This window comes from Homo sapiens, chromosome 14 (genome assembly GCF_000001405.40).
Source record: "Homo sapiens chromosome 14, GRCh38.p14 Primary Assembly".
Lineage (NCBI taxonomy): Eukaryota > Metazoa > Chordata > Mammalia > Primates > Hominidae > Homo > Homo sapiens.
The window spans coordinates 100077304-100095885 of record NC_000014.9 but is presented as its reverse complement, the minus strand read 5'-3'; the positions used below and the strand labels follow the sequence as shown (position 1 = coordinate 100095885).

The following is an 18582-nucleotide window of genomic DNA, read 5'->3' as shown; positions in this document are numbered from 1 at the left end:
AATGGTGGTGGGTGCCTGTAGTCCCAGCTACTTGGGAGGCTGAGGCACGAGAATCGCTTGAACCCAGGAGGTGGAGATTGCAGTGAGCCGAGATTGCGCCATTGCACTCCAGCCTGGGCAACAGAGCCAGACTCTGTCTCAAACAACAACAACAACAACAACAAAACCTGTAATTGTTTCACAACTTAATTGTTACATATTGACAGGCACATATTTTGGCCAACAACTACACACAAGTTCCAGGGTAGTTCTCTGTTTTTTTGCTCTTTGTGCCAGGGGTATAGATTCACATGCACACACAGCTAAACCAAAAGAACTAGACTGGGGGTGACTAGGTTTAGTTATAGGTCATCAGAAAAAGGACTCATAAGAACTAGCAAATAATAACTAGTAACTAATAACTACCAAATAATAAGAACCAGCAAAGTTAACTGTTGTGAAAACAGCTCTTTAGATTATAGGACACATTAACAGTGGTACAGTGACCAGCATGAGGGAAGAGAAGAACCTGCTCCATTCTGCCCTGGTAAGTCCCTATCAGAAGTTCTGTGTTCAAGTTTTTTGTTTTCATTTTTGGTGTTGCATTTCTAGTGGACAGTAGCAAACTGAAGCAAGCCAGAGGAAAATGCTTTAAAAATTGAAGAAGGTCTTGAAACCACCTTATATCAGGAATGGTTAAGAGATACTGAAGCAAGATAAAAGATACTTTAGTGTCTCACGACTACTGTCTCCAGATACGTGAGGAGATATTCTGGGGAAATGAAATTTAGAACCCTATGATTTGACTTGATTTAAAACAAAAAAAATTTTTAGTACCGTTTTTGTTTTGTTTTGTTTTGTTTTTTTAGACGGAGTCTCGCTCTGTCACCCAGGCTGGAGTGCAGTGGTGCGATCTTGGCTCACTGCAACCTCCACCTCCCGGGTTCAAACGTTTCTCCTGCCTCAGCCTCCAGAGTAGCTGGAACTATAGACGCCTGCCACCACGCCCAGCTAATTTTTTGTATTTTTAGTAGAGACGGGGCTTCACTGTGTTAGCTGGGATGGTCTCAATCTCCTGACCTCGTGATCTGCCCGCCTCGGCCTCCCAAAGTGCTGAGATTACAGGCGTGAGCCACCGTGCCTGGCCCGTAGTATGGTTTTTTAAGATGGAGTCTTGCTCTGTCGCCCAGGCTGGAGTGCAGTGGCACGATCTTGGCTCACTGCAGCCTCCACCTCCTAGGTTCAAGTGATCCTCCTGTCTCAGCCTCCTGAGTAGCTGGGACTACAGGTACATGCCACCATGCCCCATCCAATTTTTTTTTTTTTAAAGTAGAGTCAGGGTTTCACCATGTTGACCAGGCTGTCTCGAACTCCTGACCTCAAGTAATGCTCCCGCCTTGGCCTCCCAAAGTGCTGGGATTACAGGCATGAGCCACTGGGCCTGGCCTAGAACCCTATGATTTGAACTCTCTGGTTGGCTACATTCTTAGAGAGGAACTTAAGATGAGTGAGAATTTTTCTTTTTTTCCAAACCTCAAAGTGGCTCTTGGGGGGGAAATGAGAATTGAGGGGCAGATGACGCCTAATCCAGAATATGGACAATATGGCCAGCAGACAACCACTGAAGGGGCTAAATAGCACCTTAGGGATTATCTAACTCAATCCGCTCTTTTTACAGTCAGGAAATGAGGTCCAGGGAGAATGAGTGACTTGTCCAAAGTTACACAGTAAGCTAATGGGGAAATTGGATTTAGAAGCCGAGGACTTCGTGATTTTTTTTTGTTGCCAGTATGGTAGTCCCCGCTTATCCATGCAGAATTGGTTCCAAGACCCCCAGTGGATACCTGAAATGTGGGTAGTACAGAACCCTATATAGACTATGTTTTTTCCTATACATACATACCTATGATAAAATTTAACTCATAAATTAGCCATAGTCAGAGATTAACAACAATAACTAATAATAAAATGGAACAATTATAATATTTGGAATGGCACATAATTTAAAATTTATGACTTATTTCTGGAATTTCCCATTTAATTAATATTTTCAGCCTGCAGTGGATCTTGGGTATGTGAAACCTCAGAAAGCAAAGCCACAGCTAAGTGGAGGACTGTTGTATAATGAGCTGAAATCCTTCTTCCTATAATTCCCTCTCTGGTCCTAGCACTAACCTTTGGAGCCTCATAAATCACTTCCAACTCAGGAAGTTTTAGGATATGGGACTGAGAGAGTGCAGTGAAGCCTTTCTAGAGGACGTATCCCAGTTCTGTAAGTTCTCTGGGCTCTGCCACACATGCTTGGTCGCTGATTGAAGGCCCCTGGCCCTGCCGTTTCTGTTCTATCTACAACTGCAGTACAAAGGCTGCTCACCAACTGCTGCTGTTTGGTGTCTACACACAGCCCCCAACGGTCTATGACTGCTTTGAAGACAAGCATACTAGGTACAAGGAATGAGCAGAGGGTTTTACGTCAGAGGGTTCTGCATTAAAACCCTGGCGTTATTACTTTTCAGCTGTATAACCTTAGACAAGTTGCTCATATCAGTTTCCTCACATGTAAGATGAAGATAATATTATAAATAATACTGCACTGAATATTCCTGTGAAGATGTATTTCTACAGGATATATCCCTGTAAGCCAAATGGCTAGAGAGACATGACCATTACAAAATTTATATTTATTATTTGAAAATTGACTTCTAAAACAGGAGAGTCCAGTGCAATGTGTTTTGGATGTATGTGCAGTGACACAAGGCCAATGTCACTTGACCATTTGTTGAGGTGGCCAGTGTTTATTAACTGCCAGACCTGACCAGCCAACAGCTAAAATCTCAGTACCTAATGGTTCCACCTCTTTGTTTACTCTGCTTAGAGTGAGTCAAAGGATCCACCTGAACACGTGCATTTTTGCAAGTCCACTTTTGGGTGAGGCTGCTTCATTTAGTACCCATCACCCAACACTCACTTGTAGAGATAACCATGTTTCTTATTTCTAACACCATTGGCAAAATGTGTCTGTTCTTAAGCTACATAGAAATGGACTCCTGTGGTATATGGTATGTACTCTTTTGTTTCTGGCTTATTTCCCTCAACACAATCTTTATGAGATTCACCATGTTACCGCATATATCCATATTTCATTCTTTTTGTTTGTTTGTTTGTTTTTTTGAGATGGAGTTTCGCTCCTGTCACCCAGGCTGGAGTGTAATGGCACAATCTCAGCTCACTGCAACCTCTGCCTCCTGGGTTCAAGCGATTCTCCTGCTTCAGCCTCCCAAGTAGCTGGGATTACAGGTGCATGCCATTACACCTGGCTAATGTTTGTATTTTTAGTATTGATGGGGTTTCACCATGTTGGCCAGGCTGATCTTGAAACCCTGACCTCAGGTGATCTGCCCACCTCGGTCTCCCAAAGTGTTGGGATTATGGGTGTGAACCACTGAGTCTGGCTGAATTCTTATTGACTGCTACATAGTATTCCATTTTTTTAACCACAACTTCTCCATTCTCCTGCTGATGGACATGGGTAGTTTTGCATTCTTGGCTGATATGAATACAACTGTTATGAACATTTTCATACATATATTTTAGTGGACATATGTACTTGTAAGGATATAAGAAAAACTAAAGTGTTTTTCCTATTCTTTTTGAGACCCTAGAATGAGATGGGGTCTCATTCTGTTACCCACACTGGAGTGCACTGGCATGATCATGGCTCACTGCAGCCTCAAACTCCTGGGCGCAAGGGATCCTCCTGCCTCAGCCTCCCGAGTAGCTGGGACATAAGTGTGTGCCACCATGCCTAGCTAATTTACAACTTTTTTATTTGTAGAGACGAGGTCTTGCTATGTTGCCCAGGCTGGTCTTGAACTCCTGGGCTCAAGTGATCCTCCTGCCTCGGCCTCCCAAAGTGCTGTACACTCATACAGTCAAGAGCCACTGCACCCAGCCTCTATTCTCTACTCTCATACAACAAGCAAGCAATTCTGCAGATTCTCAAGTAGACGTCAAGTGTCCTCTATAATTCTGACATTATACACCTGGAGACAGCATCAGGTTCCACGGGTTGAGGGCTGAGTCCCACAAGACTACCCCAACTTCAGATGCCAGTCGCAAGTGCAGGTTGTGACTTGTGCTTCCGACCCACGGGCTATAAATCATGGTTATCATGACCCCTGCCTTGGGTCTGATGAATTTGCTAGCATGCTCACAAAACTCAGGGAAACCGTTTACCTAGGTTTACGGGTTTCTTAATAAAGGGCATAAGAAAGGCTACAGATGAGTGGGCAGATAAGAGACGCACAGGGCAAAGGATGCAGGAAGAGGATGGAGCTCCTCCGCTCTCCCTAGGCCTGCCCCCCCTCCAGGAACCTCCACCAGGTCAGCTCTCTGGAAGCTCTCCCAACTCTGCCTTTTTGGTCCTTTTATGGAGACTTTACTGGATGGGTACGATTGACCACTGTGTAGAAATGTGATTGGATAAAAAGGGTATGATCTCACAATAACAGAGTGGGGAAACCCAGCAAGGCCTGTTGATTCAGATTCTCCTCGGCCTCTCTGTAGCATTCCTTCCTCTAGGATATGGGGCGGAACCCATTCTGAAATGAGGGTCTTAGCACCCACAATCAGACAAGGTAGGTCAGGGAATTTCGTTAAGACCAGCTTCCAGTCAGAAAAGCAGGGGACGATTCCTGCCTTGGGGAGAAAAGGGGCAGGTGAAAGGAGGGCAGGAGAAAGGCAGAGAGAGACTCTTGTTTTCTGAGGCGGGCAGCACGCCGACATTCTAATAAGGGCTCTGGGAGCTACCAGCTAGGAAGCGTCGATGAAAACTAATACATATATGATAATATCACAATCTTCTATCCAGTGACCATGCCAAATTCACTTAATATAATATTAGTATATATTATTATATTACTATAATAGTTTGTAGCTACTTTCACATTTTCCACATACACTATTAAGTCATCTGCAATGCGAGATGGTTTTGCTTCTTCCTTTCCAACTGCTAAATCAAAGAGGTGAGAGTGAACATTCTTGTCTTGTTCTTGAATTCAGGTGGAAAGTGGGATACTATGACGTCAGCTATGGTTTTTGTTTTGTTGTTGTTTGTAGATACCCTTTATCTGATTAAATAAATCACTTTTGTACTTTTAATTCCTAGTTTCCTCAGTTTTTATCATGAAGGGATACTGAATTTTACCAAATGCTTTTTCTCCATCTGTGAGATGACCTTACGGTTTTCCGGCTTTATTCCATTAAATCAATCTTGCATTCCTGGAATAAATCTTATTTTTCAAAATTTTCTTTTTAATACATTATTAGATTCAAGTCATTAATCGTTTGTTCAGGCTTACTTACTGCATTATTGTTCATTAGAAATAATAACTTGTAATTTTCTTTTCTTGTAAGGTTTTTGTGCAGTTTTTGTATCATGGTTATACAGCATGGTTGTAAGAAGACATTATAGGAAGCAGGCTTTGTTTCTCTCATCTCCGAAGGAGTAATGTAAGACTGGCATTGTTTCTTCTTTATGTTTTTCAAGGAATATGTCCATCTTATCTAAGCTGTCAAGTTTACCGGCACAAGGTTATTACTAACGATATTCTATGTTTTTAGTTTATAGGATCTGTAGTGATTTCCCCTTTCATTCATTATATTGGCAATTTGTGTTTTCTCTTTCTCACTCTCAATAAAGGTTTATTAATTTAATTTTTTTTCAAAGAACCAACTTTCTCATTCAAAAAAACCGCGACATTTTGTGTTTCTCTATCATACATCTGCTTTCTATTTCATTAGTTTTTATTTTTTCCTTCCTTCTACTTTTGTTGGGTTTAATTTGCTTTCATTTTTCTTCTACCATCTTGAGATAGTGGCATAGATCACTGATTTTCAAATACTCTTCTTTTTCTAATATATGCATTTATAGCTATAAATTTCCCCATATGTACTTTTTGGGGCTTTTTTTTTGAGACAAGGTTATCACTTTGTTGTCCAGGCTGGAGTGCAGTAGTACCACCATGGCTCACTGCAGCCTCAAACTCCTTGGCTCAAGTGATCCTCCAGCTTCAGCCTCCTGAGTAGCAAGGACTACAGGCACATGCCACCACACCCAGTTAATTAAAAAATTTTTTGTTGGTAGAGGTGGATTTTGGAGTCCCACTATATTGACCAGGATGGTCTCAAAACTCCTGGCCCCAGGTGGTCCTCCCTCATTGGCCTCCCAAAATGCCGGGATTACAGGCATGAGCCACTGCGCCTGGCTCATATGTACTGTTCTAGCTGCGTCCCACAAGTATTGCTATGTTATATTGTCATTACTGTTCAGTTCAAAATATTTTCTAGTTTACACTGTGATTTCTTTTCTGTCTCATGGTTCATCCAGTATTAGACCACTTAATTTCCAAACATTTGGAGATTTTAAAAGTTACCCTCTGTTACTAATTTCTGGTTTAATTCCTCTGTGGTCAAAGAACATACTCTGTGTGAGTTCCATCCTTTTTAACTTGACACTTGCTTTATGGCCCAGCATATGGTCTATTTTGGTAAATGTTTTGTTTACTTGAGAAGACTATGCATCGTACAGTTGTTGGCTATAGTTTCTACAAATGAAAATTAGCTCAAGTTGGTTAATAATGTTATTCAAGTTTTCTGTCTTTACTTATTTCTATGTCTTTATTCAATTAGTAGCTTGGAGGTATGATTAGAATCTCCAACTATGCTTCTGAATTTGTCTCTTCTCCCTTTAGATTTTTGCGTTATGTGTTTTGAAGATATATGAATGGATTCATACAAATGTAGGGATGCTATGACTTCTTTTTCAATTGCCCTTTTAGCATTAAAAAGGTCTGTCATTATCTTTAGGAATACTTATTGCCTTAAAGTCTGCTTTGTCTGATATTAACATAGCCACATCAATTTCTTTTGGTGTTTGTAAGGTTTATCTTTTTCCAATTTTTTACTTTCAACTTTTTGTTTTTGGAGGCCTCGTTGGGATCTCCTTATCAGCTTTATTTTAAAAATAATTCTCCAAGGTTTGGCAGGACTGATCTGGACACTTGCTGAAGGATTAACATTTTAAAATGTCATACTTTTTGCATAGGAGCCCATAATTACAACGTTTACACAAGTTTTATTCTGGGGAGTGTAGGAGTGCCTTTCCTCTTCATTTAAAGGAAGGTCTTGCAACTCCATATATAATCATGGACCACATAATGATGTTTTGGTCAACAACAGACTGCATATATGATGGTGGTCCCATAAGACTATAGTACGGTATTTTTACTATACTTTTTCTATGCTCACGTATATTTATACACACAAATACCACTGTGTTACAACTGCCTGCAGTATTCGGTACAGTAACATGCTGTATGGGTTTGTAGCCTAGGAGCAACAGGCTATACCATACAGCCTAGGTGTGTAGTAGGCTGTACCATCTAGGTTTGTGTGAGCACACTCACATGACAACAAAATCCCCCAGGGGCGCATTTCTCAGGATGTATCCTCATCATTAAGAGGTGCATGACTGTACTGCCTTCACATGTTTTGGGGGCCTCTGGGTAAAAAGAGTCAAGAGTCCTCTACAAAAAAGAAAGATGCTTGATGGTGGAGAACTATCTTCTTGACCCCATATATGCCTGGATCTAAAAACTACAGAATCTACAGACTGGCAAAGGCTTTGGAGGTCTCATCTCATCCAAGTCTCTACTTGATGACAAACTGTCTTTCCCAGAATCTTACCTCTCAGGCTGGCAATGTAACACTTTCCATCTTTCAACAGTATGCTTGTAAGAAAGCTCATCCTTTTACTGCGTTAATATCTTCTTCATTATAGCATCCACGCAATATTCCTAGGTCTGTTCTCCGGGGTCCACATTGAAAGTGAGATTTCTCTTCCACATGGAACCCTTCAGAGACTTGAAAATCGCAGTCATGCCCCCTTCAGTTTCTATCTTCTTCAAGTAAATATCTCTTGTTACTCCTTCGATTGTTCCCCATATTATCCCGCTTTCAGATCTTTCACCAGTTTGGATGCCCTTCTTCTTGTAGATTCCAGTTTGTTGTACTCAGATGCAGTCCCAGCATTCTGCGGGAAGAATGACCCACGCAGAGCAGAGCAGAGCAGAGCAGAGCAGGACTGCAGTCTCCCTTCTTCTGGACCTCTGCCTCCATGAATTTGCTCCACCTCTATTAATTTACTCTATTAATTTATTCTACTTCTATCAATTCACTCTACTTCTACTAATTCAGCCTGAGAACTCACTAACATTTTTTGTTTTTGTTTTTTGAGACAGAATCTCGCCCTGTCACCCAGGCTGGAATGCAGTGGCGCGACCACGGCTTACTGAAGCCTCAACCTCCTGGACTCAACAGAATCTCCCACCTGGCCTCCTGAGTAGCTGGGACTACAGGCATGCCCCACCACGCCCAGATAATTTATATATTTTTTTATAGAGATGGGGTCTCACTATGTTGCCCAGGCTGGTCTGGAACTCCTGGGCTCAAGTGATCCACCTGCCTTGGCCTCCCAAAGTGTTGGGATTACAGGCATGAGCCACTGCAACAGCCACATTTTTTGGTGACCAAAACTTATTCTCAACTAAAAATCCTTTAGGTTTGTCACCCTGAATGTAAGATTTAGGTTAGATTTTGGCTAATGGTACTATAACTTACTATATATTTTCTCCATAACTGATTACCTGGTTTTATGTCCACCTATTTAGCAAAATGGTGATGATAATTCTTGTACCATTATCCTTACTGGGAGAATGAAATAATAGACATGAAAAGTGCTCCATTAACCATAAAGAGCATTAAACATGTAAGATATCCCTATTTAGTTATAAAACCAGGAATCTTTGATTCTCTCAACATGTCTGACCACTTTAAGGTGGTAGCCCACACGGACTAAAACCAAATCTGTGAAAATCAGTCTTTCTACTGAGGTCCCTAAAAGTTGTTATGGACCAGATTTCCTGCCATTTTCTCTAATGTCTTGGTTTACCAAGAATCTCTTTTCTATTCCTAGCTAAACATGCCCCATCCATGTGGGGAGATATCCTCAATCCTGTCTGATAGCCTGTCTCCTGAACATGTGATTCCAAGTGGGAGGCTGTGCTCTGAACTTCTCAATCACACTCTAGGAGGTCTCTAAGTTAGAATCAACACAGCCCTCCAAATTTAAACAGGATACCACTGAAGACTGCCGTCAGTCCCTCCCGGAGTGGGGAAAAGGTCTCTTTCTCAACATGTGGTTTCCTCTGAAGGAGGCTGTGAGGTGCTGAGGTCCCTGAGAACAGGCGGTGTTTGGGTTTTGGGGAGCTCTCCCTTCCCATGCCCTTTCCAGTACACCATGCCGTCTTCCTACTACGCCCTGGAGGGCAACCAAGAGGCAGGAAGGGAATGGGAAACTTGTCATAATAAAAGCAATCACTTATGGAACACCTACTATGATTCAGGAACTGCACAAGGTGGACCTTGTGTCAAAGACATGGAGGTATTGCCCTCACAAGCCCCAACCACTAGGTGTTCTGAAAGCTTGAGATATTTTTGACTGTCACCATAATTGGGGCCAAAGGTTCTGTATATCCTGCAACGTGTGGCACAGTGTGTCACTGAAAGGCAGATCTAGAATTAGTGAATTGGAATTTTAGGAAGGCAGCTTCTAGAAGGTTTCTAGAAAGACATTTATACCATTATACCACTAAGGCTCATCAACAAGGGAAAGGGATGCTTTTGGAGGTACCAAGATTTCAAGGTTAGAAAGACTATCTTTTCGGAGTCTCGCTCCGTCGCCCAGGCTGGAGTGCCGTGGTGCGATCTCGGCTCACTGCAAGCTCTGCCTCCTGGGTTCACGCCATTCTCCTGCCTCAGCCTCACAAGTAGCTGGGACTACAGGTGCCCGCCACCACGCCCGGCTAATTTTTTTTTATTTTTTAGTAGAGATGGGGTTTCGCCGTGTTAGCCAGGCTGGTCTTGAACTCCTGACCTTGTAATCCACCCGCCTTGGCCTCCCAAAGTGCTGGGATTACAGGCGTGAGCCACCGTGCCCAGCCAGAAAGACTACCTTTTATCAGGGGTCCTGGGGTAGAGATGTCTCTGTTAGCCATGAGCATCATGAAACTTAATAGGGCTATTTCGATTAAAGCAAAAACCCAATCAACAGGCAACACACTAAAAACAGAACCCAGAGTTTCTGTTCTCTCTCTTCCGATCGCTGATTCTTTCCAAGATAGCAGCTAACCTGCTGCTCAACTTAGCTGAAGCTTGACCCACAAAGGCTGCCACAAGATGCTGTTTATATAGACTTTTTCACAAATGCTATAATCACAGATCTGTTAAATTCACTGCTATAAATGCTCTTGTCAATCTATAAGAAGAGAGTTGGAGGGAGAGCACCGAACTAACCAAAGTCACTGTGGTTAAGTCGCCCAGCCTATTTCTCCATGTCCCTATTTTAGTCCATGTCACATCAGACTATTTTGCCATTAATTACGTGTATATGACTATTCATGACACAGGTGGACATGATTGTTCCCTCATATTTATGTAGGTATTTACCAGGTACACTCACAAACTATCTTATCTGATTTGCCTAGGTTGAACTATTAGGGAGAGAAATGACCCCAGGTTCTCCAAACCATCTTGATACTCTTTCTAAAGTAAGACTTAGAAGGTTGATGAACCCCAAATCTTAATAGCTACCTTACATATGAATAAGATGAACACATTTTTGCAATATTATTTTTTCAAAGCTTTCCCACATCTATTATTTATTTTAATCTGACAATAACACAGTGAAATAGGCAGGGTGCGGATTACTGTCTCCATATGACATAGGTAAAAAGTGAAATCCAGGAAACAGTGTGCTTAAGGTGTCATACTTTGAACTATGAGGATATGGAGTCAAAATCTGAGCCCAGGTCCTCTGATTCCGAATATTGACCTTTTTGTTCTGACCTCTTAATGATACATGTGTGTAAGGGGTGGGCGGTGAGGAGGTGGTGCGCAGGCTCACGGGTATAATCTGTAATTCCAGCACTGACCTGCTGATCCTGCAACTTGACTCCAACGACTCTGAAGGTGTTGCTGGCAGTGTTGTGGTAGATGTTGATCCGGCTGAATCCCTGCTGGCCAGGTTTGATTGGTACCCATTTCTTACTGGTGTCATCGTAGACCATCACGGAAGCCCGGGCTTGGCAGATACTCTGTTCACTGCCGAGCAAGAAAAAACTGGTGTCAGCCTCAGCTACAGTGGATGGAAGTTGACTTTGCCCTTTTCTGAAATAGAGGCCAATTGCTACTTGACATAAAGAAACTTTCCAATTGCCAGAACTTCCAACATCTATGGAAGAACTGCCTGGTGAGGTGATGAGCTTACATTCTCTAAGGAGCTTGCAGAGTGGAGAGGAGGTTCTGTGCCAAAACTTTCAACAGCTTGGAAAAGACTCACAACTTTGTTTTCAGGGGAGAAGTTGCTTGAATAAGAAAGGAATTACAATTATAATTTGCCAACTGTTCACAACATTCCATGTACTGTATTAAACAAGAGAATGTGGCCAGGCACGGTAGCTCATGCCTGTAATCTCAACACTTTGGGAGGCTGAGGCTGGTGGTCCACTTGAGGTCAGGACCAACCTGACCAACATGGTGAGATGCCCCCTGCCTCTAAAAACACAAAAATTAGCCAGGCACGGTGGCACATGCCTGTAATCCTAGCTACTCGGGAGGCTGAGGCACAAGAATTGCTTGAACCCAGGAGATGGAGGTTGCAGTGAGCCAAGATTGCACCACTGCACTCCAGCCTGGACAACAGAGTGAAACTGTCTCGGAAAAAAAAAAAAAAAAAGAGAGAGAGAGAGAATGCATTATTAAAGCATCTAAGCTTCATGACTTATGAAGCAGCTATTTATTACCTCCATTCTCCATTTTTTTAGATGAGAAAAAAGTGGCTCAGAGACTTGCAAAGATGTATACAAGTTCATACACGTATTCAGTGATTACACTGGGGATTTCCAACCACTTCTGTCTGACTCTAGAGCATATGACATAGATAATATTCTTTGCAACATCCAACAAAATGCTTCATTTATGGTATTATGCTAGGGTAGCATCAGATAAGCTATGTAGGCAATGAAGTATTTTGGTGATCTAAAGAAAAATGCAACATAAATCAAAATAAATAGATGGCTGCACCATACTTTGCTGAAGACATTTACGTAGTAAAGCAACCTCATTTGTTCAAAGTATGACAGAGAAGCAGGGGAGAAGCCCCTGAAAGGATAAAATAGTCATTACTAAAATTAATACACTAAAACTCCTGCCACGGTATTCAGGGGAAGTCTCTCGGAGCCCACTGGCTCTTCATAAACCTAATAATCTTTAACATCTTCTCTAGCATATTAGAATTCCCAAATTTAAAAAAGCAATACTCGTTTATTTCTTTTTTTTTTTTAAAGAGGGAATTGTGATTGTGCCACCGCACTCCAGCCTGGGTGACAGTGTAAGACTGTCTCCAGAAAAAAAAGATAGAGTAAACTGTACACAGAACCAGACAGACGTTGGGTCAAATCACAGTTCTATCCCAATGTAAATGAACCATAAATCAAGTGATGGGCTGAATTCTGGCACTTACTGCTTCTGGTACACTCAGTTGCTAACTGTGACAGTCGACAAGTAGGTGTGTGTTCTGGATGCTGTCTCAGGAGCTAGGAGAGATCCTGAGATGCAGCATGGTCTTGGTTAACAAAACATGGGTTTTATTAAATCAGAGGGATCTGAGTTGGTGCCCAGCTCTACCATTTGCTGGAAGGTGACCACAGAGCCCTTGAGATGATTCTGGGGGAGCACTCTGGGAAGGTGCTGTGTGAGGGGCAATGCTTTCTAGAGTCCCTGTGTGGCAGCCATGGAAGCACGCCCTTCAGTTCCCCTGCAGGAGAACCTGCTATGGGAGCAGAGCTGGTGCACAGAGGCCATGCTGCTCCCAGCCGCTGACTGAATGTGGCAGGGGCACCAGTGCCAGCCCATTCCTGCCCAACACAGGACTCTTCTGTGGGGGAAGCCTTGGTTTGGGGACACCCTATCAGCCTGGCCCAAATGTTCTCAGCACTGTGATGTGGTCTGAGATGCTTCTAGTCCATCCTTCCTGGCCTTTCTCCTTTCGCAGACTTTTGACCTGTGTCAGAACCTGGCACAGAGCAGGTGCCTAATAAATGCTCACTAAATAATCTCAGAGCTGAAAAGAACTATAGACACTAATCCACTTTTGTGTCCAATGAAGCTGCCCTCACAAGTCCACACTGAGCTTTGGGTGATGGGAAACTTAACTTACTACTCTCCAAAGCAACCCGTTGGTTGTAAATGGTTTTAATTTAGACAACCCCTCCTTGTTCTGAGTGACATGCCACTCGCTTCTCTCCAGAGTCACACAGGGTGCTCTGCAGAGCCTGTGACAACCCACCGGATAGCTGAAGGAAGAGCGCTTCCTTCCATCAGCCACACGACAAAGCTACCAGTCCCCTCGCCATCCCAGTAACTAATCAGTCTGGGTCCTAAAACTGGGCACAATATTCCAGGCTTAGTCTGACCAGTAGATGGTAGTGAGTCAAAAAACATTAATGAAAGAGAGATGGGTAGAACAGTACCTGCCCTCAGTGAGCTCACAGCTAGTAAGGCAGTCAGATGAGTAATTATAAACCTTATCCAGCCTGGAGGGATGCGGGGGAGGGGGGGACAGGGGAGGCTTTCTTCTTTTAAATTTTTATTTATTTATTTTTTTGAGACGGAGTCTCACTCTGTTGCCCAGGCTGGAGCTCAGTGGCGCGATCTTGGCTCACTGCAACCTCCGCCTCCCAGGTTCAGGCGATTCTTGTGCTTCAGCCTCCCATGAAGCTGGGACTACAGGCACATACCACCACGCCTGGCTAATCTTTTAAATTCTAGCAGAGACAGGGTTTTAAATTTTAGTAGAGACAGGGTTTTACCATGTTGCCCAGGCTGGTCTTGAACTCCCAGCCTCAAGCAATCTGCCCGCCTTGGACTCCCAAAGTGCTGGGATTACAGGCGTGAGCCACTGCGCCAGGCCTGGGGAGGCTTTCTGAAGCAAACGCTGTGTGGGTTTTAAGATGAATTCAGGAAGGGGATGTGGGGTTCTAGGAGGAAGAGACAGGCAGCTGAGCAGAGGCAGGGAGTAAAGAACTGCACGGCACGTAGAGAACCGCTAGCACTAGGTGGGGGTGAAGCATACCTGGGGTATCACACACACCTTTTAGGGGAGTTACAGAGATGGCATAAATAAAGCACTGTGCTTGCCACTAGATGCCTGAAGACCAATAACCATTTTTCTTCTTGTAATTATAGCTACAGGTTCCTTTTTTTTTTTTTTTTTTGCTGTTGTTAATACTTTAGGTTCAAATTAAACTTGTGGTTAACCAAAACCCCTGGTTTCCCCCCACCCTTTGAATAGTATTGGTTTGTCTCTTATTTTATTGCTACTAACAAAACCTAAATGCAAGAAAATACACACATTTATTCTACTTAAGATTTGTTTTGCTAATTTGGGCTTATTATACCTTTGAAATTTTTTGTTTTAATAAAATCTCGATTGCTATCTAACCTCGACATTGCCTCTGAGCAATATATATTGACTTGCCTTCTCGACATCTTCACCTGGATAAATACTCAAACTCTGTATCATACACACCCTCCCTAGGCATCATAAATTTAATTTGTCCAAATCATCTATCCCTTGAGGAAATCTAATTTTGTATTATTATTATTGTTATTGTAGAGACAGGGTTTCGCTATGTTGCCCAGACTGATCTCAAACTCCTGGGCTCAAGTGATCCTCCCATCTTGGTCTCTTTGGTCTCTCGAAGTGCTGGGATTACTGGCATGAGCCACCGTGCCTAGCTATAAGGAAATTTGATAGGCAAATATTTTCTTAAATTATTTATTGAATAAATGAATGAACTTTTTAAAAAACATATACATATGAAATTTCATTTACTAAATGGTTCCCATGAGGTCTTCAAGTCTCACAGGCTTCTTTTATATGATCAAAACAATCTGTTGATTAGTTGGGGAGTGAAATCAGTCAAAACACACTGGTTTGTTCTGCATGGTGTTAAGTTACCAGGTTGGTGGACTTCTTTCCCCCCTGGGATCTAACAGGCATCTCTGAGCTGTAGGTATAACTAGAATTTCTCTCTTGGGGGAAGGCTCTTTTCAAACAAGCAGTCCAATTCCCCTGTCATTTTGGGCCTTCGTACATGTATTTGTGGGGCCCATATAATCTGCACCTGTAATTTCCCTCCGTGTGTCATGCAAGACCTAAACTCTTAAAGCTTCAGACTGCACTTCTATCACTTATAGGAGAAAGACCATGTGACTCTAGGCCTCAGTTTCCTCATCTGTACAAGGTGAGTCTGACCTCAAGAGCTCCCTCAGACAAGCGCTGAGTACTCGCTGAGCTCTGTCCATGAGCCCAGCATGGGGCAGGGCACAGCAGGGAAGATGGGAAAAGCCACAATCTTTGTCCTGTCGCTGCTTCAGCAGTTAATTTTTTTAGATCATACACCAAGCCTGTCCAAGCTGTGGGCCGCATGTGGCCCAGGACAGCTTTGAATGCAGCCCAAATTTGTAAACTTTCTTAAAATATTATGAGATTTTTTTAAAAGCTCATCAGCTATTGTTAATGTTAGTGTATTTTATGTGTGGCCCAAGACAATTCTTCCAATGTGGCCCAGGGAAGCCAAAAGATCGGACACCCCTGCTGTATATCATAGACCATTTTTGAATGTCTGTTGAAATCTCTCACTGAAGAGAAAAAAAAAAAAAAGCAAAACACATCCCAAATTTTCTGCATGTAGTTCTGAAACCTAATCATAGACCTTCCAGGACCTGATGTAGGAAATCAGTAATGCATTTCAAGATAAAACTATTACATAGGCAGCTGGGTGTGATGGAACATGCCTGTAGTCCCAGCTACTCAGGAGGATGCAGAAAAAATCTTGCAGCACGGCCCTCCGTGATGACAGCCCGAAGTCAATCTCGGGCTGTCACTCTCTAATCCTTCTGGAAAAGTTCAGGCTCTGTGCCCCTGGACTCTTGCTCCCCCACTCCCTGTGTGGCTGGGAACAAGGTTTCTGAAATTCTCATGGGCTTACACAGACACGCCATCCTAGCCCTGTTATTTCCTTGAAGGACAGAGTGTAAATTCATAAAGTAAGGGAAAAAGGAAGGTCCACAGGGAGGAACGAGGCTAACCACAAGAGGTTTTTTGGGAAATGTGAGTGCAGGGTTGAACTTGGAAAAAGCACAGGATGTAGACCTGTCCAGAGAGAGGCTGGCTCCTGCAGCCCCATGCTTGCTTCTCCCTCTGCCAGAGCGCTTTTCAGTTTGTCCTGCCTCTCCGAATCTGCTGAGGTGTCTGCACCACCAGCCTGTGAGCTCCTTGAAGGCAGGAACTGTTTTGTTTTCCCCTTGGTAAAGCCAGTCCCTGTATGCTGTAGACATGAATAATTGTTAAACAAATGACCCTGACTGTGGGAAAAACAGTGCATTTATGATTGTGTGCCCGTGGGAACATTCTACTCACAATCCTCTCCATTTATTCTCAGAAAAAGTGTAACTGCCAAGCAAAAGCATCTGTCACAGATTACCATCAGCCTTCTCTCTCACAACAGCCTGGGATGGGCGAGTCAGGAAACCACAGCTCTGCGGGTGGGCTCCTGTGCAAAGCGAGGCTCAGCCCTGTCTGCTGCCTCTAAAGGTGCATCTCAGCTCTGCCTGGGCCCAGGCCTGCGGAGAAAGACCCGCTCCTCCAGAGGGAGGCCTCTGGGAAGGTACAGGCTGCCCTCTTCTGCTCCTCTGGAGTGTCAGCCTAGGAGCCACACTCCTCCTTCCTGGAAAGCAGGCGGCCAAGGCCTCACTCTCTCTCCCTGGGACTGGCATGGTGGTCCTGCTCAGCCTTAATGCTCAGACTTGGGAGCTCCTTTTGGACAGAACAACTCTTCATACTCTGTCTTGAGGGCCAATTTTTTCTTCCCAGTAGGACTGTGAACCAGCATTTGCCCATAACAGAAGGGTTTCCTAGGAGGTAGGCATTCGGCACTAAAACTGGGATAATCCCGGGCAAACCAGGGTGAGTGAGCTGCCCTGCTGGGAACTCCTTTATCTTTCACCACATAACCATCACAAGGGTGGGCACCTAACAAGCACCCCGCCAGCTGATACGACTGGACTTCACTCCCTACTTCCTGCTGTTCCCCACCCAGCTCGTCTTGTCACTTGCTCTCTCCATTTCCTTACCCTGCCCCACCCCCACCCTGCCGTCACTCTCCAAGCCCCCATTGGAACCTGGCCCCTGGCCCTGAGAATACACTTAAATAAGCCCAGACAAGGTTACTGCCTTTCCACTTCCAGCTCCAATGTGTGCTTTCCGGCTCTCGAGTCACTGGGCCCATTAGTGAGCCAGGCACTGCTATGTCCTCATTCTGAAAACCTCTCCTCCTTAATCCCCAGCCTTCCAATTCTCCTGGCATTCCACTTCGCTCTCTGTGATTCCTGCTCAGCCTCCTTCACAGGTTTCCTTTCTACTTATCTTTTATGTCAAGTGTTTTTAATCCCGGGTCCAGGGAAAGGCTTGAAGAGTCTGAGAAACCTCCAAAATTATCTGCAAAAGTGTGCGTGCATGCTGCTTCTAGAAATGCATTTACCATGTTCTTAAATGGGTTTGCTCTCCAAAACAGATTTTAAAACCAACGTGAACTATGTGGAATTTCTTCTCATTTTACTCTATGCTCATGATCCTCAAAATTGTATGCATGGCCGGGCGCAGTGGCTCACGCCTGTAATCCCAGCACTTTGGGAGGCCAAGGCGGGCGGATCACGAGGTCAGGAGATCGAGACCATCCTGGCTAACCGGTGAAACCCCATCTCTACTAAAAATACAAAAAAAAATTAGCCGGGCATGGTGGCGGGTGCTTGTAGTCCCAGCTACTCCGGAGGCTGAGGCAGGAGAATGGCGTGAACCCGGGAGGCAGAGCTTGCAGTGAGCCGAGATTGCGCCATTGCACTCTAGCCTGGGCGACAGAGCCAGACTCCATCTCAAAAAAACAAAAACAAACAAAAAAACTGTATGCACTGTAAGAGTCAGGTGAGTGTTTATTAAAACACAAATCCCTAGGCCCCCATTTAGGAGATTCTGATGTGGTAAGTCTCAGGCGGGGCGGGGTCTCTACTGTAACACACGTTTGCTGGTTCTAGGCAAATGGTCCATGAAGGAAACTTTGAGGACCATTCGCTTTCACGTCTCCTCATGGGCTCTGTCATCCATGCCAGGGTTTACACGAGCACCAATACACTGATAAATCCCATGTCGATGGCTCTCCAGTCCTGTCCTTTCTTCTAAAATGTGGAGCCATATTTCTAACTGTTGGACATAACTTAGAGACCTCACAATTTAACATGCTTAAGAGAGAAAGTATTCTTTTCACTGTTTCCCATTTCAAGGAATGGAAGCAACACCTACCCAGTCCCCTGAGTCTGAAACCTGAAGGCCATTTCAGATGCTTTTTTGTGCTTCACCCTCCATGG

The 18582-nt window shown here is 43.8% G+C and overlaps 1 protein-coding gene across 10 annotated transcripts in view; it reads right to left on the bottom strand.

The window, feature by feature from the left end:
• EVL (Enah/Vasp-like) overlaps positions 1–18582 on the bottom strand; it is a 172815-nt gene that overhangs the window by 48351 nt on the left and 105882 nt on the right. For all 10 annotated transcript variants that reach the window (XR_007064013.1, XR_007064014.1, NM_001330221.2 and 7 more), the window contains exon 2: positions 11031–11199. Coding sequence is in view for 8 of the 10 variants with exons in the window: in NM_001330221.2 (NP_001317150.1) it covers positions 11031–11199 (169 nt within the window). In the remaining 2 variants the exon portion in view is untranslated. The remainder of the gene's footprint in view (positions 1–11030; positions 11200–18582) is intronic.